We start from the raw sequence: 26273 nt of genomic DNA on the forward strand, positions 1-26273 counted from the left end.
CTGGGCAACTTGGGGAGACCCTGTATCATAAAAAAGTAAAAATATCATGAATGTAGGGATTAGGGATCATAGTAGTTTGTATGAAACCAATCCAGGGTTGAATTCTGATTCAAGTAATAGAAGTAATGAAACATATTTGCATTGATTTCCATATATCATAATGTTGAGTTCTTTTTCTTTTTTTTTTGCTACTTTATTATACCCAGTACAAACCATTTTCCCTTTAGTGTTAAGACATATGACAATTCTGTGTAAAGTAATTAATACTTAATGTATAATGCTCATGATTGTAATTTCCCTTTCCCATGGTAGACTCTCTTCAGTATAACTTTTGTGAAGGGAATAGGCTATGCTAAGGCTGTACCAACACATAGAGAAAGCTGCTTTCTCCTGTGTCCTTATTTGCCTAGGAAGTTTATTTTGATGTGGGCCATCATAAATTGGCCCAGAGTTTCTTTTTGGAAAGCAGTTCTGATTTCAGTTTGTATAGCTTGCAAGATTTATAAATGGATTGGTTTGATGAAGTCGTCTCAAGGGTTTGAGGTTACATATTTTGTAGAAACGATGATTGTAGCTTTTGCAACAGTCTTTCTTTCCTTTCTAATATGTTAAGGACCCCTGGTGACCTCTGGGGATTTTTCAGAATTGATTAGAAAAATCAGAGAAGTTTTGTGATGGCTTAAAGTTTTTACAAGCTTTCAAACTGGCAACAGAGAATATTCTGTTGCCCGAAGTAAATTATTTACATCATTGGGAACTTGAATGTTACCTTAGCCATTTGCCTCTGTGTCTATGTTGCTTGCAAAGTTGAAAGTGAATAAACATTATCATTGTTAGATTGTGATGTGCAGTGAGTGTTTTACTCACTGGGAGCATACAATTCCAAATCCAACTCCTTTGGGGGATTTTCTGTCCTAACTATTCTGCTCCTTTTGCACTCCTCATACGTAGGAGCATAACTATATTAGAGCATAGGAGAATTGCATCTTTAAACAACAATCAGTGTCTTCTGTTGGTGAACGAGCATTTCTCTATTGAAGCTGGAAAGTTTCTCCCTAACAGAAAGGCTGCACAGGGGAAAGTGACTTGGTCCAGGACCTCTGGGAGCTGCTATGCCACTGGCAGCTGAGAGATGAGCCACTTGTACGTTGCTATTCTCTTTAGGACAGTGCAGTGGCTCTTTGATACCCAAATAACCTGAAACACCATAGATCATTCTGACTGGTGGCACATCCTGTAATTACAGGATCAGGAAGGACTTCGTGACTCCTAGCCTGTTATTTTCCGGGAAAAGATTTTCCATGTTGAACAGCAAAACATGAAAGTTGGTGGTGGTGGAGAAGAGGGGGCTATGTAATAAAAGAATAATGATTAGAATGTATCTTTACATAAAAATTAGCATCTAACTTATTCTTTTTTGGTGAAAAATAATGTTAAATATATACTACATGTTTATATTTTATAACTTAAATGAAAATACTAAACTGCCTCTTTTTTTCTTTTAACTGAAATGTTTTTCAGTTGCATGTTTTTCTAAGGTTAGGCAGCTGGATAAGGTGACTGAAACTTCAATTAAAATTCTTTTTATTGCCCAGTTGTTTAAAAATTACGCAAATGTTGTGTTGAAACCTAGACTGATAAGCAAAGCTGTTTGGATTGTTTTATTCTCGAAGCATCCAGGATATGTACGTATTCTTCTGTTGCCATTTGTTGATATTATTGGCATATTCCTGCTCTTTCCTGAGTTCACTGTCCATAGAGAAGGAGGATGTGTATGAAGTGCATGGGTGAACTATGCATGCTCTGGTGCACCCGTGCACTTAGGGGAGAGGGCAATGCTCTGTCTCTGGCCATGGAACGTACTAGATGTGATGAACCCACTGAAGGGCGGCCAGCTTAGAAATCTGCGGCAGTATTTCTTTCTTTCTTTGTTTTTGGTTGGTGAGGATGCCTGCTCAGAAGCTCTCAGGTTTCCTGGAATTGTAAAATGCTTCAGTACAGGTTAAATGCTCAATTTCTTTGTGTGGCTTTGAAACCAGTTGTCATTCAATGCTGCCTGCTCTCTCTAGCTTCATTTCCCTTAACTTTGCGACGTGAGTCTTCCTTTCTGTTCAGACCATCATTCCCCTGCCTTTTTAGCACCAGGCACTGGTTTTGTAGAAGACAGTTTTTCCATGGATGGGGCAGGGGTATAGGGGTGGGGATGGTTTTGGGATAAAGCTGTTCCACCTCGGATCATCAGGCATTAGATTATCATAGGGAGTGTGCAACCTAGATCCCTTACATGCATGGTTCACAATAGGATTTGTGTTCCTATGAGAGTATAATGCCACTGCTGATCTGACAGGAGGTGGAGCTTAGGCTTCTGCTCACCCCTTGCTGTGTGGCCTGTTTACTAACAGGCCACGGACTGGTACTATTCTATATCCTGGGAGTTGGGGACCCCTGATTTAGACAACTTCTCCTTACCCTCCCCCTGCTGCTTTTCTTCCATGTATTTGCCCAGGCTGTTACATTATGTGTGGCACTCTTTTCCTTCTTGGAATGTTTCAATCCCTTGTCACCACTCACCTCTCCTCTTCCACCTCTACCGCCCATAGACTCCATATGTGCTTGGTTCTCTTGCACCACTGATCACCTTACACTGTGGTTTGTTATTTGTCTGTCCGTGTATCTGTCTCCCCACTCTCATTCCTCTCTTTTGCTTCCCCTATCATGCTTTTGGTAGTGAACATTTCCCTGCAATCATGGTAGCTTAAATCACTTATGGATTCAAGAGTGGGAATGCCCTGGATAAGGCAATCAGTAATACTTGAAATCAGCCATTAAAAAGTTAAGTACCTCAACGTGTTACATACTGTCATATTAAAAGAAAAATGTAAATCCTTGTCCAGGAAATAGTCTCCCTATATATGTGTATAGAAAAACATGTTGTTTTAATTACCAATATAAATGTGATAAATTATATATTTAATATGTCAGCTCTTTCAGTTTTGTATCTTGACAGAATTGAAAATCTCTCTACCACTGTGCCAACTTCTAGAATTACCTCAAAGTTAAAATGCAGCTGACCCATTGTAGATGCGGCTGGTGCCTTGGAGTTTGAGGGCTTTTGGAGCTGTGACATTACGTTGGGTCAGTAAGTGACTCCTTTTTAAGGACTAGCTTATTTAGGCTATGGTGGTTGTACAGGCTACGGTGGTCCTGAGAGTGGTTTTTTTTTTCCCCACCCACAACAAAGGAATGATGCATACTGTTGTCTTCAGCACATTAATTAGAGAATGGGTTTTTTCCTAGGATTTTTTTTTTTTTTGGATTGCTGAGAAAGGAGTGTTGTGTGAGGAAGAAAAGAAGAAAGATCAAGACTAAGTCAGTTCAGGAGAAGTCACTAGTGAACTTAAATTTCCTGATCTTTGCAGTTTGTATTTCTGTTGCTTTATAAAACCATTCTTTGAAACATAAATGTGTGTACATACACCTGTATGGACACACACAGACACACAGGCACAGACACACACACACACACAATGTGGTATTTCCACACAGAGAATAGTTGCCATGGAGATGAAAGCCTACCTTGAATAAGGTAAATGTCTCATAAAAGGGAATTGTTCAAGGGAAGCATGGTCATGGTGTAGCAATTCACTGAAACATTATGCAGCTATATAGAATGTTTTCAAAGTATCATCTTTAGCACTCTTGGGATAATGCCTCCAATATAAGGTTAAGTGGTAAAATACAGTTCAGCTAGGTTTGTTTACATTGGAAATATTTTGAGGCAAGTAATTATCTTTTGATGGTTTCAGAAAGTACTTACACCTTTGCAGGTTTTAAATTTTTTTTTTTTGAGATGGCGTCTCGCACTGTCGCCCAGGCTGGAGTGCAGTGGCGCAGTCTCAGCTCACTGCAAGCTCTGCCTGCTGGGTTCACACCATTCTCCTACCTCAGCCTCCCAAGTAGCTGGGACTACAGGCGCCTGCCACCACGCCCGGCTAATTTTTTGTATTTTTGGTAGAGATGGGGTTTCACTGTGTTAGCCAGGATGGTCTCGATCTGACCTCGTGATCTGCCCACCTCGGCCTCCCAAAGTGCTGGGATTACAGGCGTGAGCCACCGCGCCCGGCCCTGCAGGTTTTAAGTTTTAAAAATATATTTAGGGGGTACAAGTTCAGATTTATTACATGGATATACTGCATAGTGGTGAAGTCTGGACTTTAGTCTAACCATCACCTGAATAGTGTACATTGTACCCATGAGGTAATTAATTTCTCATCCCTCACCCACTTTGGTATCTCTGTTTGTTGCCTTGCTGCCCATTTTGATGTGATTCACACTCACAAATGTTTTAAGCCATGGCAAGCTTCTTCTCACTAGCATTCTTATCAGCAGCACTTTAATCGTGCTGACGCCAACTCCAGAACTTCCCTTGAAGTGACGTTGGGCTAATAATCATCCTGCATTGACATCAGTATCTGAACATGTGCTTTATCACACCCCCTTCCCCCTTCTTCTGGCCTCATGGTGCATTGTTTGTTCTTTGAAGCTTTCATCCTGCACATGTGTGCATTTGTTTCCCAACATTTCTTATTTTACTATATTGTTTTCAATTAAAAATGGAAAAATTGTTTTCAATAAAAAATTTCCAGCTTTTCCTACTGTTACTTCTAGTCTGCTCACTGCTTTTGTGCTTATTGTGCTTCCAATCCCCTTGGTTAAGAGATGAGGTTAATGATGTTTCTAATGCAATTGTAAACTAAGGACAAGCCGTGCTAGTGTACAGAGGACGTCGTGAGCATGGCATTTGCTGACACAGTGATACTCCTCTGCTCAGCGATTCCCACCATGTGCTAGTGGTGAGTATAGCTAACATACTTGTGCTGACAGTGAAGTTTTGTTGGAGTCTGTGAAAGTTAACTGGAAATTTATAAGAAAATTGCAAGACTGTTATTAGGTGATTTTAGTTTTCTTTTTTATGCTGATAATTTTTCATATTTTCTGTGACAAACATTTCTTTTATATTTGGCCAAACAAGTGTTTTTTACAGAGTGTCAATATGATGGAGTGGGTTATCTGATAATACCCTAGGTATAAAACAACTAGAAATAATGGCTAATATAAAATAAACAACTTTTATACTTGCATAGAGAGGCAAAAATAGCACAAAGGATAATATCTCTCCATGCCTACAAATGAGGGTCAGTCGGCTCCAGCACTCTACTGTGTGATGCCTCGGTGCCTGCGTTTACAAAGTAGTGATGGTAGCAGCACCTGCCGCATGGAGGAATTGTTTTGAGGGTTAAAAAAGTGTTTGGCACATAATGACTGTTTGTTGTTGCTGTTGTAAGGAGAGGGGGAAAGTGACAGCTGATTGGTAAGGGGGAGCCAAGTTGTGGCCGTTGAGGAGAAATTTTCCAGGACCAGAATGGGCGCAGAGCGATCAGAACTAGGAAACTAAAGGGCCCCTCAGACATGCGGAGCTGGAGCCTTAAAAGCCTACACCTTTACTTAAGTGCACACTTGAGAAAAAGAAAAAGTGGAAAACAAAATCCAGAAACAAACAAAAACAAGAGAGCTTGCTTGCCTGAAACTTAGGCTTGGATGGTGAAGGGCAATATGATAGAAGAGAAAGTTATTCTAAGAATTCCTACCCATGTGGTCAAGTTTATACCTCTTCTTCTAAGTGAGAAATTTAAAATGCAACTTAGGCTGGCGATTCATGCCTCTGGGGCATCTGGCACAAGCAGTTGCAAAATCTTTGAACACCCACTGAATAAAAGTCTGGTTGACTAACAGTCAATAGATTTTGGAGTCTTGACTTTGTGCTTTATATGTTTTTTGACTTTGGGTAAGCCCTCTCTCTGGCCTCTTTCCTCCTGTGTAAAATGTGAGGCTTGGTCATGAATGATAAGTGTTCCTAACCTGTAAGTTCATATATGGATTTTGGGCATTTTGAATCCCCTGAAATAGCATGTGGTGACAGGTTGAAGGCTGCTTTTCCAAAGAGCTGATTGCCATTAATCTAAACTTTTACTTATAACTCTTCAACTATAATTTTATGTTTTCTAGAATAATCAACACAGAAAGTTGGAAAGATGCAGATAACCAAGTGTACTGTGTTTAGTCAAGTGCAGAGGCAGCCTCATCTGTTAATACAAGTTTGGATATTGGCAATATTCAGATTAAAGCCCTGGTTTTGGGTCTGATTTTCTCTAATCTGAATTTTCCAAATAACTTTTCATCAGTCATCAGTTCAGCAAGTGCACTACTGTAATGAGCTGTTAAGCATCTTTTTGAAATTAAAGACAGCTTACACCCTGATCCCTATCTCTGTAATGTCTGCATGCCTTGAGGATTAGATTAAGAGTGTATTTCAGGCAATGTTACAGTAATTTATTTCTTGGGACGTCTGTATATATATAATATTTTATTCAGTAATGGATTGAGTGTTTAAATATACAGACAGAAGAGGTGGAATTGGAGATCTTTCTTGGTGTTTAACCATCATTTAACCCATCTAACCCAGGTTTTCTGTTGTTTTGAAGAATAAAATGTATACATTTATTCACTTTTAAGTAAGTGAAATCTCAGGAAGTCCCGTTTGACTAAATTTGATTACTTCCTTAAATGGTTTTCTCTAGTTCACATTTCTTTTATTAGAACAATTGTTTATAGGCTGGGTTTGGTGGCTCACGCCTGTAATCCCAGCACTTTGGGAGGCCGAGGCAGGCGGATCACCTGAGGTCAGGAGTTCGAGACCAGCCTGGTTAACATCGCAAAACCCTGCCTCTACTAAAAATACAAAAATTAGCTGAGTGTGGTGGCACACACCTGTAATCCCAGCTACTTGGGAGGCTGAGGCAAGAGAATCGCTGGAACCTGGGAGGTGGAGGCTGCAGTGCGCTGAGATCATGCTATTGCACTCCAGCCTGGGCAACACAGCAGGACTCTGGTTCCAAAAAAACAAACCAACCAACAAACAAACAACAACAACAACAACAAAAAATTGTTTATAACAATTGAATACTAAAGTGGTCCTATGTGTGTTTTCCCAGGACTAGAGCTGCCCACTGATTGCACTTCATTCTAGGTTGTTTTTTTTTCTGGCATCGCCTGGGATTTCCCGTGGTATTTTCTGAGTACTTCACCCCGTGTCTTGTAGTCATTGTCCTGCTGGTACTTTTACTACACAAGCTGGCTCTCAGACACTTTGCAATTGTCCCTCAAACAAAAGGACATTAGTTAGAAGTGGAATTTAGAAATAGAACTAGAAATCAAAGAGTTAGAATTTAGAATTGGCTGTTGCCCTTTACCTTTTGTAGATAGGTGTTTGGGGAAAATTATGCCCTCCTGCTCCTGGCAAGCTGTTACTCTCTGTTTTAACTGTATTGATGTAGATTTGCCAGTCTTAATTTTGTGTCTCTTATTTTAAGGATTTATTAAGTGAATATGTTGACCAAATATAATGATGATGTCTTTTTGATTCAGAAATTACAAATTTTTTTAAAGTATTAAATATAAATGTTATTTTAAATATTAAAAACAGGCCGGGCGCGGTGGCTCACGCCTGTAATCCCAGCACTTTGGGAGGCAGAGGCGGGCGGATCATGAGGTCAGGAGATCGAGACCATCCTGGCTAACGCGGTGAAACCCCGCCTCTACTAAAAATACAAAAAATTAGCCGGGCGTGGTGGCGGGCGCCTGTGGTCCCGGCTACTCGGGAGGCTGAGGCAGGAGAATGGCGTGAACCCGGGAGGCGGAGCTTGCAGTGAGCCGAGGTCGCGCCACTGCACTCCAGCCTGGGCGACAGAGCGAGACTCCGTCTCAAAAAAAAAAAAAAAAAAAAAAAACAATCTTTTGTTTTCCAGATGCTACTGGGTACATGACTGTCTGCTTTAGGGTAGGCAGGCTGCGACTTGGCTTACGAATAGGTACATCTCCCATTGAAAGTCTTTCCCCTGCGTAAAAAGTTCTTTTCCCTGCCAGTTTTGAAAAATAAATGCTGTGTGATGGCTGCTGCATGTCATGCTCCAAATGTTATTAATTTTTACATAATGATCTCTTTGTTCCATCAATTCTTTTTAGCTTGAGGTATTACTATACTTTCATAATAAGCACATTTATAGTTCTGTCTGTTTAAGCAATAAAACAGCAAATTCAGCAGATTACTAAGTAGATTGGCTTGGAATGTTTGTTGATAGGTCACAGCCAGTGTTTTCCTGCGTTATGTGGACACAAAACATTAGATGTTGTTGGCATTCAGATAAAATGGATATTTTATCTAGTGCTTAAGGTTTGTAATAATAATTTGGTGTTCTCAGTTTAGCCTTATTTCTGTCAGTAAATTCCACTGGAAGTCCCAGTGGCGTTGATTTTTACTGTAGTATGGTGAATAAAAAAATCAAAACCACCTCACTTTTATTATGCTAGTGGCTTGGTCAGGTTTTGATTAAATTAGAGACAAAAATGCTGGCTTTATAATTTATGTGATGCTGTTGCTTTCTGTATTTCTTACTTTCAATTTTGAAACTTTTCTAAACAATGATTAGCATGAAATCTTATGATCAGGTTTCTGAATGTGCTAAAAGCATGGAGATTGTAAGATGATAAGAAAGAGTTTGAGTCTTTGGGTTCATGTATGCCTTGTTATTTTTTTAAAATTAACTTATAAATAAATTCAACCATAACCTTGTTACTCTTAAAGTCCTGTAGAAAACTACCCAGGAACAGATTTTGATAGCACAGTTTCATGGTGCATTCAATTCTTTAGAAAAATAATGATTGTATTAGGTTATAATATATATGAAATTGTCAATATTTGAAATTTTTTTTACTCTATGAAAACTGCAATTTCATACAACTCAAGTGTGTTACTTTACATTTTTTTCAACCTGAACGCCAGTTTCTTTTTCTTGGAGATAGAATGTCTCAGCCTTATAGACCACCGAATTAGCACATATTTTGGTACACTTTGTTTTCATTGTTACTTTCACCTTTTCTTTGGTTGTAAAATTAGCTCTGAAGATGTAGAATCAGCATGGAAAGTTTATGTATATTTCAAATTTTAATATTGTGGTGACTTTATGTCTTCATATTCTTTGTTTTGCCGCTGGCCAATGAAAACTTAGTCCTGGCTGGCAACATTCTACAGGTTGGCATTTGTGCACGTTGGTCATGGAAGTTAAGTAACATGTCCAAGACTTCCAGCTAGTGAATGGTTAGAAGGTGGCTCTCTTTATCAGCATTTTAATTTTCATAGAGTTGTTTTAGTCCTTTTCCCTTTTGGAGGTGTTAGGTTCCCAGGCTTCAGAGAAATGGTGAGATGAGTATATCTTTATACCTGTCAAGTGAACCTATAAATTCTGGATTGATATTCCATTGTTTTAGTGTTTATGTTCTTTGTTTTGTTTTACAGAGATTTTTGTTGTGCTTTAAAAACTAGAAACTTAAGGAGGAATGATTGGCTATGATATGTATATGTGTTTGAGTGTTACATAAATATTTCCATAGTTGTTGATGAAGTCTTTTCTTGAGGAGTAAACTTGATAATGCCTTCAAGTGAGTGAACCATGGATCTGGGTTAAGAATCTTCTTGGGGACCCCCAGGAGAAGATTGAATCTTTCATGAGGTAGAGCTGACAGGACCATGTAATGTATTTTGAAGGGAAATGAGAGGAAGAAGATGTATAGCCTTGTTCTCTCCTTATTTCTGTATGCTCCCCTGAATAGTCCATGTCTTTATCTTCCTTAGTTGGTGTGATGGCCACCCTACTTGAAGTTCTCTCCCTAGCAGCTGTTTTGTGTGATCTGCCACGTGATAACTCCTATTAGTTGTTGGGTCAAAATATCTGTGATTCCTGCTGTCATTTACATAGATGACCAAAGCTGACATCTTTTTTTTTTTGGTATGGGGAGCTTCTTTTTCATGTAGATTGCATCATGCTAGTGTTAATAGTTTCTTGCTTGGAGATCTTGTTTTGCCATCTTTTGACTTTGTATTGTATATGCTGTTAATGAAATAGCTTATGAATCTGGAGGTTTTTCCCATGAGTGGTTTTTGTTTGTTTGTTTGAGACAGAGTCTTACTCTGTTGCCTACACTGGTGTGCAGTGGCACAATCTTGGCTCACTGCAGCATCCGCCTCCTGGGTTCAAGTGATTCTCCTGCCTTAGCCTCCCGAGTATCTAGGACTACAGGCACGTACCACCACACCTGGCTAGTTTTTCTATTTTTAGTAGAGACAGGGTTTCTCCATGTTGGCCAGGCTGGTCTCGAACTCCTGGCCTCAAGTGATCCTCCTGCCTTGGCCTCCCAAAATGCTGGGATTACAGGCATGAGCCACCGCACTTGCCTCCCATGGGTAGTTTTGAACTCCATAAAGGGAAAGGGCTGTTGCTTTTAATTTCTTATTTCCAGAATCTTTTATATTACCTAGCATATGGTGAATTTCATATGCTTAGTACCTATCTTTGTTTTTTAATTGTAAATTGACAATTTATAATTGTATAAATTTATGGGGTACAAAATGGTGTTACGTTTTATTAGTACAATGTGGAATAAGTTAGTTGACTTATGTGTCACCTTAAATACATAATATTTTGTGGTGAGAACATGAGACTTTTACTGTGTTAGCAATTTTAAAATGTATTAATACTATTATTTCTCTTCAGATCATGTGGCTCTTTCTCCTTTTTCACCTATCTTTGATTTGATGCTCAGAATATGTTCCTTCTGGTGCCATGTTGACAGCTAAGTTTCCCAAGGATATGCCAGCTTTCTTTAGGAGTTTTCTTCTTCTCATTCCTACCATGATGTGAGAATTGACTGAGCTGGTTTCCTCCTATTTGTTGTACACATTACTAGTAACCATTACTTATAATTATTTTAGATGATGCTAGCATCATTTTTACTGGTAAGGCAATCGAAGCTCATAGACATGAATTCACTTGTCCTAGATCACAAAGCTAGTAAGTGGTAGATAACAGGCTTTAAATACTGTCTGTTCAATTCCAAAGTTTACACTCTACACTCTTGTGTTTTAGATAGACTATTGCTATGTCTGCCAGGCTGGAGTGCGGTGGCACGATCTCGGCTCACTGCAGCCTCCATCTCCCAGGTTCAAGTGATTCTCCTGTCTCAGCCTCCCGAGTAACTGGGACTGCAGGCGCCTGCCACCATTCTCGGCTAATGTTTGTATTGTATTTTTGGTAGAGACTGGATTTCACCATGTTTGTCAGGCTGGTCTCGAACTCCTGACCTCAAGTGATCCATCTGCCTCGCCCTCCCAAAGTGCCAGGATTACAGACGTGAGCCACTGTGTCCAGCCTACTCTTTCAACACTAACAACCTCCCAAAATAGCTAGAATACTGGTAAAAGAAGTTGAAGTGGACACATATAAATGTCTGATTATAGCCAGATACCTTTGTTAATAGTGTAGATAAACTTCCCAGCATTCCTTGTTTTTGTTCATGCGTGTTATAAAATATATATAAAATATGAGCTAATGTTCTGTAAGAAACTTCAGCCACGCTGGTAATGCCATAGTTCCTGGTGAAACCCATCTCCTCAGAGGTAGCATAATTATCATGGGTGTTTTTTTTTTTTTTGGTAATAGGAATTTTGAAGTTGTGTCCTTTGGAATGTTTCTTATTTAAAGTGTATATAGAGTCATTTGGAATGTATCCTTCTGAAATACTTTTGTATCAGTGTTATTGAGAGGTGATACATAAAGAACAAAACTATATACATCCATTTAATTTCTTAAGTGCTTTAGACTTTAAACTGTAGAATTCTCTGCTATCCATTATTACATTAGCATTTTGGGGGAACTGTAATGCAGAATTTGATTTTTCCTCAATGTCATCACTTCTTAGTAAAATCATACCTAAAGTCCTGTAATTTTTTTCTCTTTTGTACTTTTGAACACAGCTTTATAAATGTTTGAAGGTCAGCATTTCAAAAAAATCACTTAAATATAGTTTCATACATTATTCAGTACAGAAATTATAAAGTTCCCAAGTTTGAATCTTTGCCTTTTTGAGTATCTCACTTCTGCACTTATCCCACCCCACTACACCCCCCATTCCCTGCAGGATGTTTGAAACCATATATAAATGCCTCCCAGGACTGAGATTTTGCTCAAGTACCTGAAACGTAACAGATGCTGCTGTGCTTTTCATAGTAGAGAATGGTGCTGTACCAGCCAAAACACCTCACTGGAGCATCACCCCAAGCAGCAGAATGAGTGTGATGACTGGCAAAGGGAAATTATACTGTAGTGGAGCTGATAGCTTTTCTCATCTGCTGAGTTCCATCCACAAGTCCTGGCAGCAGCCCTTTCACAAATGGCCTGAATAATTTTCCTTAGGGACGTCACTTACATGTAACAAAATTTGTTCAAAGATACTGTCCTGAGTGAGTGAACGAATCTGGCAAAAATCTGTTCTTAAGGCAAGGTTTCCCCCAGTTCATAGTTCTCACCTAATATTATTTTGACAGCAGTTTTTAAAAAACTTTTAAGATGACATATTTTTATAACTATGAAAACTTAAAAAGCCTCTTTATTCCAGACATTTAACCTTTTAAATAGAATTGGCAATGTTCCCTATACATGGTTTTGTGCTCCCATTTTTTATTGATTATATTATATTCAACTAATATGTTGTGTAATATATATAGTCATACTGTATATTTCATTAATCCTCAAAAGCATTTCTTCTAATGTATGCATTATATAGCTATGCCATAATTTATTTGCATATTTTAAAAAAGATTCTTTTAGATACTTTTGTAAAAGACATTAATTTCTTTATTACCATCAATTATATTCAATGATGTTTTTGAGTGAATGGGAGAATAAAGGCTTTTATTTTCCCTACAAGGCTAAACCTTTTGATGGAAATACTTATATATAGGAGATAACTTGGCGTCTGTCTAGATTGGCTCTGTTCTAATCTGTGTTGTCATCTTAAACACATTACAGTGTTTAAGCATACATTTACAGCATACATTTTCAGAAATTTTCTGGATGGCTGCTGCGGGGTTCTGTCCTGCAGACCCTGACCCAATGACTGATGAATAAAGTACACTGACACACAGATAGTCTGCTTTGCCAGTTCTACTGAGTGTCCGGGCTACTTAGTCACAGCCATGGCCCCGACCAGCCAGCGAGACTCACATTTATTCAGTAAAGATTAATTGACAAAGGCTTGAGTCAACACCACTAGAAGGTAGTTGACATTGTGGGCTTCCTGAGTAGAAAGCAATTAAGCACCCATGGTAGAACAAAGGTTAGCATTAAGACCCCATGAGTAGGCTGGGTGCAGTGGCTCACACCTGTAATCCCAGCACTTTGGGAGGCTGAGGTGGGCAGATCATCTGAGGTCAGGAGTTCAAGACCAGCCTGGCCAACATGGTGAAACCCCATCTCTACTAAAAATACAAAGTTAGCCGGGCGTGGTGGCGCATGCCTGTAATCCCAGCTACTCGGGAGGCTGAGGCAGGAGAATCGCTTGAACCCAGGAGGCGGAGGTTTCAGTGAGTCGAGATCAAGCCGTTGCACTCCAGCCTGGGCAACAAAAGTGAAACTCTGTCTCAAAAAAAAAAAAAAAAAGACCACATGAGTAAAGAAGTGAGTTAGATAAACGCCCCACATTCCTTTGTTTCTACTCTAATTTATTTAACTAAAGGTAAGGGGACTAGGCTGCCTTCAGCCAGATTTATTACCGAAATTTTGCAAACTCTCAAGGCTTCCAAGAGGGTTTGTGGCTATTATAACTAAAATTTTTCCCACCAGCCTGACTGAACCCCCACAGACCTTTGCAGAGATTATGTTGGAGGCCTAGAGGGGAAGGATCATCATGTCCTGAAGTACTAGGTTGCGCATACCAGCAAATAGCAGCTTTATGGCTATCTCATATAACTTGTTGGAAAACCCTGACATTTAACTAATCTTGTACTCATTTTACAGATTGAGAAATAGGTTTAGAATCATCACCCAACCAAGACTGTATAGACTGCATGAATGAAGCATTATTTTAATTTATTCTGATAGGTTGGAGCAGAGCTCTACACTTAAAGCCATGCTTATCTTAGAATAATTTGGTGTCACTTGGACTAATGTTTTCAAATATATATTTTCTAGTGTGACTTTTTACTTTACATAAAAGTCGTTTACACTTTTGTATGAAAAGTGATACAAATTAATGTGTATAAAAAGCAACGAAAAATAATCATTGAAATAAACACTGTATGTTTACACCGTTGCTAACAACATCTCAGTGTGACCCTCACCTTGGGAAGTTTTATTAATCTGCAGGAATACTGCAAATTAGTATAAGTAGAAAACTTTTGGAGTTTCTCTGAATGTCTTAAGATACTCAAAGTGAATTTCAGCAAGCCTGACTTTCTTATTAGAACCAGAAAGTTTTTAGAATTTCCTGTGCTTCAAATTAATGGGGCCTCCCCTTCTCATAACATGTCCTGTGGGGTTGAGTCTCTTCCAGGCAGACCTCTCTGACTGTTGGGGAATCATTGCTTGAGCATCAGAGGTGATACTGATTGTCTATTTAATGATCAATGACAAGACAGAAATCTAGCTATCCCTTTGAGGTGTTTGAAAAACAGAATTGTTTATGGTCCTGAGGAGTGGGCGGTGTGATTTGAATGGCAAGCAGGGAGAATAGCTTTGGAGATGCATTTAAGACACCTTGGAAAGGCTGAGAAGGGAGGGTTGTAAGCAGGCTGTGAATGGCTAATTACTGTGATTTTACCTATAGGTAATTGTACAAGCAGAAGTTGTGGTCAGTTTCTTAATACCCAGCTGGCACACATATAAATCACATATTTTTGTTTTAACTCATATTTCTTTTTGAGGACTATTTTTAGGCCCTGCTTGCATAGCTATTTCTACTACCTTTGTCCTCGAGTTTTTAATTCTGCCAGAAATATTCAGAGTAAGAGGTGATGATTGGTTTCCTGGGTCTAAGTGAGAATGAATACTTTTAATACTACTATAAAAAAAATTTCAGTCTATTGTGTATATGATCCAGGAGTTTCATCTATAGGCAAGTTCGTTTATAAAATGAAACAGTTTATAAAATAAATTTTTATTTTTATTGACATGGCGATTAAAAAATTTGAAAACAGCTATTGAAGGTATTGTTGCCAAGGTGGCAATATTTTCAACAGGTTTCTTCAGTACATTGATCCAAGTTAGTATCTGGTTTCCCCATTTCCACCTCACAGTAGTGTTTGTTTAGGCGCTAGCCCTCTTACATAGGATGGCCCTTTTAGCCACTGCTTATGTTTCCTTATTTAGGACAAAGTTCCACATACCTTGGTGCCTGGTATACTGGGCTTCTGTAAATTTAGAAAGGCTTACATAGATTTGAGGAACTGCTTTGTATTTAGGCTCATGGTTTTCTTGACTGCATGTTACTTGCTACAAGGAATGACAATGTTTTTGTAAAAATCTTAGTCTAGGAGTACGGGTTTCCACCATGAAGTAAGAGGCTCACTGACTGAGGAAGAAAAAAATGAAGTGCTCTTGGCATAAAATCTTTGTTTTCTTCAATTTCTGGCAAACCTTGCAGACATTCTTGAAAGAACCTAGGGAGAAAAGGAGGCCTTTTTGCTGTGTTGACTCTTGTTTTCTTTTTGCTTAAGTATTTCAAGTTGATTAAGGCAAGCTGATTATGAAGTTACTGCTTGGCTTTAAGATTGAAGCCTACATCAGGTGTTTTTAAGACCTGTATTGTTTAGCAGTGACTCTTTGATACTAACACTTTTAGAAAAATGTACACATGTATATGGCAGTGGTTCTCAGTCTTTTTGGTCTCAGGAAGCCTTATGTTCTTATCTCTTCTGAGGACCTGAAAGAAGATTCTTTTATTTCCTTTTTTGTGGGTTCATTTTATTGATATTTACTTACTGGAAATCACACCAGGGAAAATTTAAATTATATTAATTCATTTAAAAATAGCAATAAAAACAACATTTACATAAAGTTACATTTATTTTCATAAAAAATAATGATTTTCCCAACCCATAAAAAATAATTAGAAACATCAGCAAGACAGTGGAATAGGACTTCACAGCGCTTGTCCCCTGGCAGAAACATCGATTTAACAACTATCAATGCTCAAAAATGCCTTCAAAAGAGATACAGGAACCAGATGAGAGATGATGGCACCTGAGTATAGCACAGACATGAAAAAAGATGCATTGAAGAGATAGGAAGGACAGTTTTGCATTACCTGTATTACCACTCCCCTAATCCCAGGCGGTACAGTGAGGAGAGGGATAGGGATACCTGTGTGGGAAGGAGAGTGATGTGAGAAACAGATTTTGCCTCAGATCCCAATCTAAGGTCCGTTGCAGTGAAACCCAGCACCACACAGTCCCACCGCCCTGGATTCCTGGCTGGTACCTGCAGACTGAGCCTCCAGGATTGCTCCAGTGTCAGGCCATCTCTCAGCCTCAAGACTAGCTCAAGTGTCAGGTCAGTACCCACATCCTTAGACTCCAGACCAGCACCCACGGAGCCAGCCTCCAAGTCTGCCTCAACAGTAGCCAGCATTTGCAGTCCCAGACTCCAGGCTCACTCCAGAGCCAAGACAACCCCCACAGACCCAGGCTCCAAGCTGGTCCCCTGGTCTAGGATGTAGAGCAGCACTTGTGGACCTGGGTTTCATGCCTGCCCTAGTGAACCCTGGGTACAGGTCTACCATAGAAGACCCTGGCATTGGGCCAACTCCCACAGACCAAACATCCAGGAACATCCCTGTGGATGCAGTTGACAGGACCACACCAGTGGAATGTTGGTGCCAAGCTGGCCCCCGTGAACCCAAGATCCTGGCCTAACTCAGTAGACCCAAGCTTCAGTTCTTACATGGTGGACTTAGGCTCCAGATCCAACCCCATGAACCCAGGTACCAGGCCAGCTCACATACTGACGCAGACACAAGGCCGGAGGATTCCAGGAGCAAGCCTACCCTTGGACCATGCCAGATGGCCTGCCTAGAAAATTTGGATGGACTGACTGGTGAAGGGTTGTCCAAGCCAAAGCCAGTCTACAAAGGTTGGAATAAGTCACTAGTTCTTCAAATGCATGGATACCAACTCATGGTCACAAGAATCATGAATAATCAGGGAAACATGACACCACTGAGGGAACAAAATAAAACCTCAGTAACCAACAATAAAGAAATATAGATTTACAAACTGCCTAAAAGTAATTCAAAATAATAATCTTAAAGAAGCTCAATGAGCTGCAAGTGAATACAGATAGACAACTAAATGAAATCAGGAAGACAATGCACAAACAAGTTGAGAATTTCAACAAAGAGATAGAAGCCATAAAAGAGAACCAAACATATTCTGGAGGTAAAGAACACAATAACTGAACTGAAAAGTTCCACAGAGGGCTTCACATTTCTGCCAGCCACCCAAGTCTGAATGACTGTAGTTTGTCTGCTAATAATTTTTTTCATGGAAAAAGTGGCGTTCCATGAAAATGGCAGGTAATTCAACCTGCAATTCAATTAATTGCTCAAGTGCTTTTTTAAAGAACACTCTTGAACTTTAGTGTGTACAGAAATATTTTATGCATACATTCTTTTTTTTTCACAGATTTAATAAAATTGATGCTTTTTTCCCCCCATCAAAGGTGTTATTAAGAGAAACTGCCTTTTTGTTACCTCTGTAAGTATGAGGTAGTCAATATAATGATTCCTTTGGTGCCACTGCCTTGATTCATGCTGAGACACCAACAATTTTACTCTCTACTACTTTCGTATCACCGTTACAAATCTCAAATGGTTAATAGTCAAATCATGGGTGTTATTATGAAAGTAGTTTTGACTATGTAGATGCCATGCAACAGGGTTGTGTATCCCCTGGAGTTCACAGATCATATTTTGAGAACTGTGGTTATCTTTCAATTCCACTTGACTCCTTGAACATCATTGGTTTGAATTGTTTGACTCTACTTACATGCAATTTTTTTCAATAAATACATTAGAACATTTCTCATAGACTCAGAACAATTTGAAAAAACTCACAAATGAATCATGTAGCCTAGAAATATTTAAAAAATTAAGAAAAAGATATGTCATGAAGGCATAAAATATATGCAGATACAAGACTTTTATCATTTACTACTATAAACATAAATCTATTATAAAAAGTTAAAATTTGTCACAACATATGCACACAAACATGGATGTAACCAAATATAAAGGTGCAGTATTAAATCATAAATGCATAAAATTAGCTGTAGTATATCCTATGCTATAATAATTTTTTAGCCATCTCCTTTTGCTATTATGGTGAGGCCAAGTGCTGCGAGAAACAGGTTACATTTAGAGTCAGATTACTTCATTGCAAATATAGGCAAAGACTCTTATCTTTTGTTTTCAAATACTCTACCCATGGGTGAATACCAAGTGTTTTCCATTGTAAAAATAATAACAACAACAACCATGATAACGTGATTATTATGATAATAATGCCACCCTTTGTGCTACAGTTGGCATTTGACATATTTTGAGTTATTTTCAGCCTCATTCAGTCCTTCCCATTTTGCCATCAGTGCAAATCTAATTTGACTTTTTCTAAAACAGGTAAGTCAACATGGGAAGGGCTGGAACACACTTACTCACCAGTGATTTGTAGTTAAGCACATTGCTCTACAGTATTTATTGATCAGACTTTGAAAGCTACTTATGCAGATATTTAGAATGTGTCACAGCCCTAGACACTGGGTGCAGCTTTTATTCTGGCCACTTGCTCTGATGTACTGCCCTCTGCTATAGGCATTGAAGAGTATTTTTCTAACATGTTTGTCTTTCTGTATTTTTCTGGTGCTCTGTAAGATTTTATAAAGTGCTGTTCTTGTGGAGTAAAGAAATATACATTTTAGACCAGGCTCAGTGGTTCATGCCTGTAATTCCAGCACTTTGGGAGGCTGAGGTGGGTGGATCACCTGAGGTCAGGAGTTCTAGACCAGCCTGGCCATCATGGTGAAACTCCACTACTAAAAATACAAAAAAAATTCGCTAGGCATGGTGGTGGGTGGCTGTAATCCTAACTACTCAGAAGGCTGAGGCGGTACAATGGCTTGAACCCTGGAGGCGGTGGTTGCAGTGAGCTGAGATTGCACCATTGTACTCCAGCCTGGGCACGAAGAGCAAAACTCCATCTTAAAAAAGAAAAAAAGAAAGAAAAAGAAATATACATTTTAAAGACTTGACTCTCTAGGGGTATTTTATGAGAAGATCTGACTAGGGATTTTCTTTTATATCCATGTAATGCCAGTATATTGCTTGGTACTTTATAGCTGCTCTGTAAATGTTAATTGTAATAAATTCTTGAACCCAGAATTTAATTCAATGAAGTTCAGTTAAACTTTTATTGAGCCATGTACTATGTTAGATGAAGAAAGTAAAAATATTGGCAAAGTAGTTTCTGGACTGTGAATTCCTCTCATAACTAGAAGATAATCTCATACACATAAACCTGTTTTAGTATTGGAGCTTTTACCGTAGCAGTAGAGACACGGAAGAAGTAATGTGGGAAGGAGGGAACAGTGTAATTATTTCTGGTAGGGATAGGGAGGGTTACAAAATGAGGGTGGTTGTCTGGCCGTGGGATCTGATCTAGTCTTTGAGGCTTGAGGAGGATTATAAGGCAACTTCCCTTATCCTGGCTCTCTCAGGATGTATTTGAAAGACAAAGTAGGTTTGGTTTCCGGCCTTAATATCACAGATTCTGTGGAATGTTTATTTCTTTTGTACTCAGGGTGATTGTTTTCCCTGGTTCCCATGCTCATGGTATTTTCCTGCCTTCTCCCTTAAGAATTGCCTGAGGTTCTGTCCATTGAGGAGGAAGTGGAAGAAACAGAGTCTTGGGCGAAACCTCTCATCCACCTTTGGCAGACGAAGTCCCCTAACTTCGCAGCTGAGCAAGAGTATAATGCAACAGTGGCCAGGATGAAGCCACACTGTGCCATCTGCACTCTGCTCATGCCGTACCACAAGGTAAAGGAGCCTGCTATCATAGTTCCCTTCACTGCTCTGCCTTCCATGTGACCACATACCACAAGATCACTGTAAATTGTTGTGGGCTTCCTTTGCACATAAGAAGGAAGACGTCCTTAGGTAGCTGATGGCTTTCATAGAACCACAAACAGTTTCTACATGATCCTTGAGAGACACTTTTCTGAAAGTACTTTATCTTTTCCTTTTGAGATAGGGTCATGCTCTGTTGCCCAGGCTGAAGTGCAGTGGCACAATCATGACTCCGTGCAGGCTTGTACTCTGGCTCAGGCGATCCCTCTGCCTCAGCTTCCACAGTAGCTACGACTATAGGTGTGAGCCACCATACCTGCCTAATTTTTTAAATTTATTTTTTAATTTTTGTAGCGACTGGGTCTTACTATGTTGCCTAGGCTAGTCTTGAGCTCCTGGCCTCAAGCAATCCTTCCGCTTTGGTCTCCCAAATCTTTTTTGAGTATCTTATTTTATTTCATGGGTGGGTTACTTTCAACTTTTCTATCTCTTTTACTAAGAAACACAGAACTTAAAGCTTACAAATAGTAGAAGCTTTCAAAGAGAGAACTTAAACTTAATCTCTGTTTTTTTTTGTTTGAAAACGTCATTCTCAAATAATAGAAATGTCAGCCCTAGGTCCAAATTTTAAGTGTCTCTTTTCACCTTCCCATGTGGAACATGCAAAAGACACAGCCAAGACTCACTACAAACTAAATTTTCCAGTTCATCCTCATCAGCTGGCTGTGCGTGATGTTGTTTTCAGCGTCATTCCATAGATATTATACTGATAGCACCTCAGCTAATGGAGGGTCACAGTCCTCAGCACTCAAACAGTTGAAATATTTTTAGGAATCTCGTAAGGGTGGAACTATGTGGTTCATTTTAAGGTACAATATATTATGAAGTATATTGACATGAACATTGTGTTTTGGGTTATATTTTTATTTATAGAAACAAATATTTTATTCAAGATTATGTCTGTCTTAGAGTTCCTTATAAAAATAAACTGTTCTGTTCAGACATTTCAGAGCAAGAAAATGTGTGATATCTCACATTTTCAGACCTTTGTAACAGAGGAAATAATTTATTCCCTTCATGTTTTTTAATGTGGCACTGGTGAGTGACAAACATTATTTTTCTCTTCCTTTAGTCATTAAATTTCTGGGTTTTAACTACTTATTGATTCTTATTTCTATATTATAATCTGTATATTTCTCAATAATTAAAAAATTCAAACTAAAATAATAAGATTTGTGGAGATTTAATATAAAGTAATACAGTATAAAACATAAAGTAATATAAAATCTGTAAGGTAATTCATTACTTATACTTTCAAGTAAGTACTAAACTTTTTAAAATCTTTTGGTGTGAGGTGATAATTTTGTTTGATACATTATCCTTTCTTATTTAGTGACATGTGCCAGTTCTCTCTCACTTGCTTTCAAATACTGCAAGTGATGAGGCAAAAATTCTTAAAGCCTCTCTTAATACTGCTGCACAGATTAAAACTGGGGTCTTTGTACACTCCTTCAAGTGTAGCAAGGTATGATTCTTCAGTAAATGAAAACAGATCTGTTAACTCTAGTGCATATGAAGAAGCAAAAGAATTGATGCTTTCCACGAACTAATTTTGGAAAGACACAGTTTTAGTAGCCAGTTGCTTTCTTATATGAACAGACATATAGAATATTGTCCTTTTCCTGCAGATTAACATTTGGGTGGGAGTCTGAGGTGGAATATTGATTTAAAAAAAACTAGTAGTTTGGTCAAGGAGAACAACAGGAAGAACAAAAGTTAGAAGTTAGTGTCTGGAACAGGAGTTAGTGGATTTGAGTGACTAGAATGATGAGCTCTTTTCCATGTTTTTCACTCATGTGGAAACGTTATGTTTTTCAGCCAGATAGCAGCAATGAAGAAAATGATGCTAGATGGGAGACAAAATTAGATGAAGTCGTTACATCGGAGGGAAAGACTAAGCCCCTCATACCAGAGATGTGTTTTATTTATAGTGAAGAAAATATAGAATATTCTCCACCCAATGCCTTCCTTGAAGAGGATGGAACAAGTCTCCTTATTTCCTGTGCAAAGTGCTGCGTACGGGTTCATGCAAGTAAATGGATCTATAATTCATCAATCACTGGCTTTTCAGCATTTCACATCATCTTTATTTCTCACTTTTTTGGAACCTGTCAGATCTGTTGCATGGACTATTGGCATTCTTAATGGTTATATCATTCTTTTTCATATTTCTGCTGGTAAAAGTATGAGTTGGTATATTCATCCTTTTTTCACCACTTTCATGTAGTATCCGTGGAGAGCAGGTCTGGTTTTTTTTGTTGGTTTGTTTGTTTGGGGTCCAGTTGAGGAGTCATGATGGGGTTCCTTTCACATGTTTGGATTTTACTTACTTTAAGATCTAGTTTATAAAAACTTAATTTGAAAGTCTGATACTGATTGATGACTGCTTTTCTTTGTGACTTTTAAAAGAGAAATGAATGTTCCTTTGGTTGTTCTGAGAATTGTTGTACTGAGTTAACTTTTTTTCATTCGTGAGGATAGGAATCTCTATTGTATTCCAGGGGAGAACAGTCATTACAGTTGTTTTACCCCTGCACTGGGATAGTCTCCACACCTATCTCAATTTATTATTTTTAACAATTGGATAAGTGGTAAATATTTATTGGTCTGCCATGTAAATCCTATGAACTATGTAAAAGGGATCTCATATAATACAACTCTATTTTAAGGCATTTTAATATTCCAGATCTTACCAAATCACACATTCTAGTAACACACTTAGGTATGGCCTGTACTTTGTCAATGTAGTTTGAATGGTTTATAATATAGATATTATCTTCTGTATTTACCTCAGAGTAATAATTCCTTTGTATTAGGGTTGAAACAGCTTCCTCATCTATCATTTATTAATTAATTAGAGACTACCTACTTCCTCAAGGGATTTAAATGCTATCTGCTTGAAATATAATCGTAGCCATCTTCTTTTTGTATTGAAGGCAATTTGTAACACACACACACACACACACACACACACACACACACACCTTACATTATTATGTGTATACAATAGGTAAAGCACCAGGACACAAAATAATTGGGATATAATCTGATTCCTGAATGTAGCAGCTATGCAGTGTAGCCATACTATTTTATACACATATGCTTTAACTCATTATTTCATGGACATGGTTAACTGTGATAGGTTTTTTCCTTGGGAAATTACATTTCTGTTATTTTGTTTTCATCTCAAATGTTACAGAAATTTTCAAAAATTACTCATTAAATCTTAACCCTCTTATACGGAGGGGTTTTTAATATTGGAAATATTAAAAATTACTCATTTAAATATTTCAGAATTCTCTTATCTCAAGAAGTCAGAGTGACATGTGTTCCTTGATGCCATATAATTGCTATGTATATTTGCATCATCAGCCATCACCTTAGATAGTTATTTTGGGTCAGGCGTGAACTGAATAGACAAATCGAATTGAAAATACTCCTTCATTGCTAACTCTGAATTTGCAGCATTTGCCCTATCATTGAGGTTAAAGGTAGTTAGACTTAATTTTTGAAGCAATTTTAAATTATATTAATTTAAAAATATTAGGTTAAAATGTATTTATTATATTATTTTTGACATTTCCTTAAACTTTGCCCCATGGATTGCAACTTATTTTAAGATGTCTGTGTGTGAACAAATTAGTAGACTTGACAGTTTAAAATTTTATTACCCATTCAAGATGTTCCATAAGTATTCACTGTAACTGTTGTGTTAGTTATCAGTAAGACTCACATTCACCTTGCTTATGTTTTGTTCTATACAGTGAGAATCAAGACAGTATGGTAGGCTAGTGTCCCATTTTTATTTATTTCAGTACTGAGATCTGCAATATTTTAAAGGTGAAAAAGACCTAACGCATGGATACATACTATTATTTTATAGGTTGTTATGGTATTCCTTCTCATGAGATCTGTGATGGATGGCTGTGTGCCCGGTGCAAAAGAAATGCGTGGACAGCAGTAAGTAGCTTATTTTAGTATTGCTTAACCTTTCTTCCCACCCTACCCACTGTGGACACATTTAAGTCTAGGGAAAAGATAAGATTGCTCAGGTGCTTATATGTGCAGTTCTGCACTTCCTTGTGTTTCTAGTCTTCCCTCTCAAAAGCATCTTACCTGCTGGTTCTATATCCATTATAGAAATATTAGGTAAATTTATTTTCTTTTTTTTTTTTTGAGACGGAGTCTCTCTCTGTCGCCCAGGCTAGAGTGCAGTGGCAAGATCTTGGCTCACTGCAAGCTCCACCTTCCAGGTTCACACCATTCTCCTGCCTCAGCCTCCCAAGTAGCTGGGACTACAGGCACCCGCCACCACGCCTGGCTAATTTTTTGTATTTTTAGTAGAGACGGGGTTTCAACGTGTTAACCAGGATGGTCTCGATCTCCTGACCTTGTGATCTGCTCGCCTCGGCCTCCCAAAGTGCTGGGATTACAGGCGGGAGCCACTGTTCCTGGCTTTTTTTTTTTTTTTTTTTGAGATGGAGTCTCACTCCATTGCCCAGGCTGGAATGCAGTGGCGTGAGCTCAGCTCATTGCAACCTCCGCCTCCCAGGTTAAGCAATTCTCCAGTCTCAGCCTCCTGAGTATCTGGGACTACGGGCGCCTGCCACCATGCCTGGCTGATTTTTGTATTTTTAGTAGAGACGGGGTTTCACCTTGCTAGTCAGGCTGGTCTTGAACTCCTGACCTCATTTGATCCACCTGCCTCGGCCTCCCAAAATGCTAGGATTACAGCCGTGAGCCACTGTGCCCGACTATTAGGTAAATTTCTGGTGGCAGTCCTCTACTTAGGAAGCTGCAGGGACTGTCAATTTATCGTGTCCACATTTACATTTTCAAGGCTTCAGAATTTTTCTTCATTTTCTTGTCCATCCCTATTTTGCAATACTTGAAAATAAGTATTTCAAGTAACAGTCAAGGTGGGGGATCCTCAGTGACCCCTGAAGAAACTGTGTTCATATCCAGTGTTTATTTTTCTCTTTTTGAGACAGGGTCTCACTCTGTCATCCAGACTGGAGTGCAGTGGTGCAATCATGGCTCACCACAGTCTCGAACTCCTGGGCTCAAGTGATCTTCCCACTTCACCCTCCTGGGTAGCTGGGACTACAGGCATGCGCCACCATGCCTGGGTAATTTTTAAATTCTTTTGTAGAGACAAGGTCTCACTATGTTGCCCAGGCTGTTCTCAAACTCCTGAGCTCAAGTGATCCTCTCACCTTGGCCTCCTGAAGTGCTGGGGTTATAGGTATCAGCCCCTGTGCCTGACATCATATCTAACTTTTCAACTAGCATGAGGTCTTTCCCCACTTACTCATCCTTACATTTATACTTTAATACATTTTAGAGTTTCTGGTCTGTACTAGGCATTGCTGTGAATTTTAGGCAGAATATTTAATAACAAATGATCCCCTATTTAGAGACCAAGAATTGACTTGACCTAAATTGTTTTTCTAAAGACCTTGTTAAAAATTTACCTTACTACTTTCCTGCAGATTTTTTTGGGGGCAGAAGAAAATAATAATAATAATAATGTTATAAAAGTTTAGCTTACTTCAAATCTTTGTTTTCCATTCTAACAATCTATGTCAACTTTGTTGCCATTTGATTAAGTTTTACCTTAATTTTTCTTAAAAATTGTCTTTCAAGAGGAATCAGAACATTCTTGAAAGTGACGAACAATCAGACCTCAGCAGTGTATGCCTCACTCATGATCTCAGAGCAGGTGCTCAGCTCGATGATTTCAGCTGTAATAGCAGCATTTACTTTATTCCTCAATGATCTCTAATGACAGAGAATTACACTTCCTTGCAACTGAAGTTAAAAACCTGAATGACAATATAAAGAATACGCCTTATATGATGAAAATTTTTGTCATGACTGTGTATATTTAGTTCTCAGTAAGTCTGAGAGTGGTGTCTTTCTGGATGATTTTATTGCTGGCATTCACTTTGGGGAGTGAAAGAAGGGATAAAAATATGGACACTCTTTATGGTCTGAATAATCTGGTATATTTAATGTTAGAGGTTTTACCTCCCATTTAAGAAGTCCCTGCATCAGTGGGCCCAGAAAGCATTTTGGTACAGGTATGCATTACTTAATGACAGGGATACATTCTGAGAAATGCATCGTTAGGCAATTTTGTCATT

At 38.6% G+C, this 26273-nt stretch overlaps 1 protein-coding gene across 22 annotated transcripts in view; it reads left to right on the forward strand.

Annotated features, from left to right (window-relative positions):
• The window catches only part of KDM4C (lysine demethylase 4C), a 454786-nt gene that overhangs the window by 270980 nt on the left and 157533 nt on the right, over nt 1–26273 (forward strand). For 20 of the 22 annotated variants that reach the window (NR_148680.3, NR_148677.3, NR_148678.3 and 17 more), the window contains 3 exons: nt 19856–20037; nt 21946–22159; nt 24011–24087. Coding sequence is in view for 16 of the 22 variants with exons in the window: in NM_001146696.2 (NP_001140168.1) it covers nt 19856–20037; nt 21946–22159; nt 24011–24087 (473 nt within the window). In the remaining 6 variants the exon portion in view is untranslated. Of the gene's footprint in view, nt 1–19855; nt 20038–21945; nt 22566–24010; nt 24088–26273 lie in introns of those variants that run through there. The other 2 variants (NR_148679.3, NR_130707.4) reach the window with 2 other exon arrangements.

This window comes from Homo sapiens, chromosome 9 (assembly GCF_000001405.40).
Source record: "Homo sapiens chromosome 9, GRCh38.p14 Primary Assembly".
Classification (NCBI taxonomy): domain Eukaryota; kingdom Metazoa; phylum Chordata; class Mammalia; order Primates; family Hominidae; genus Homo; species Homo sapiens.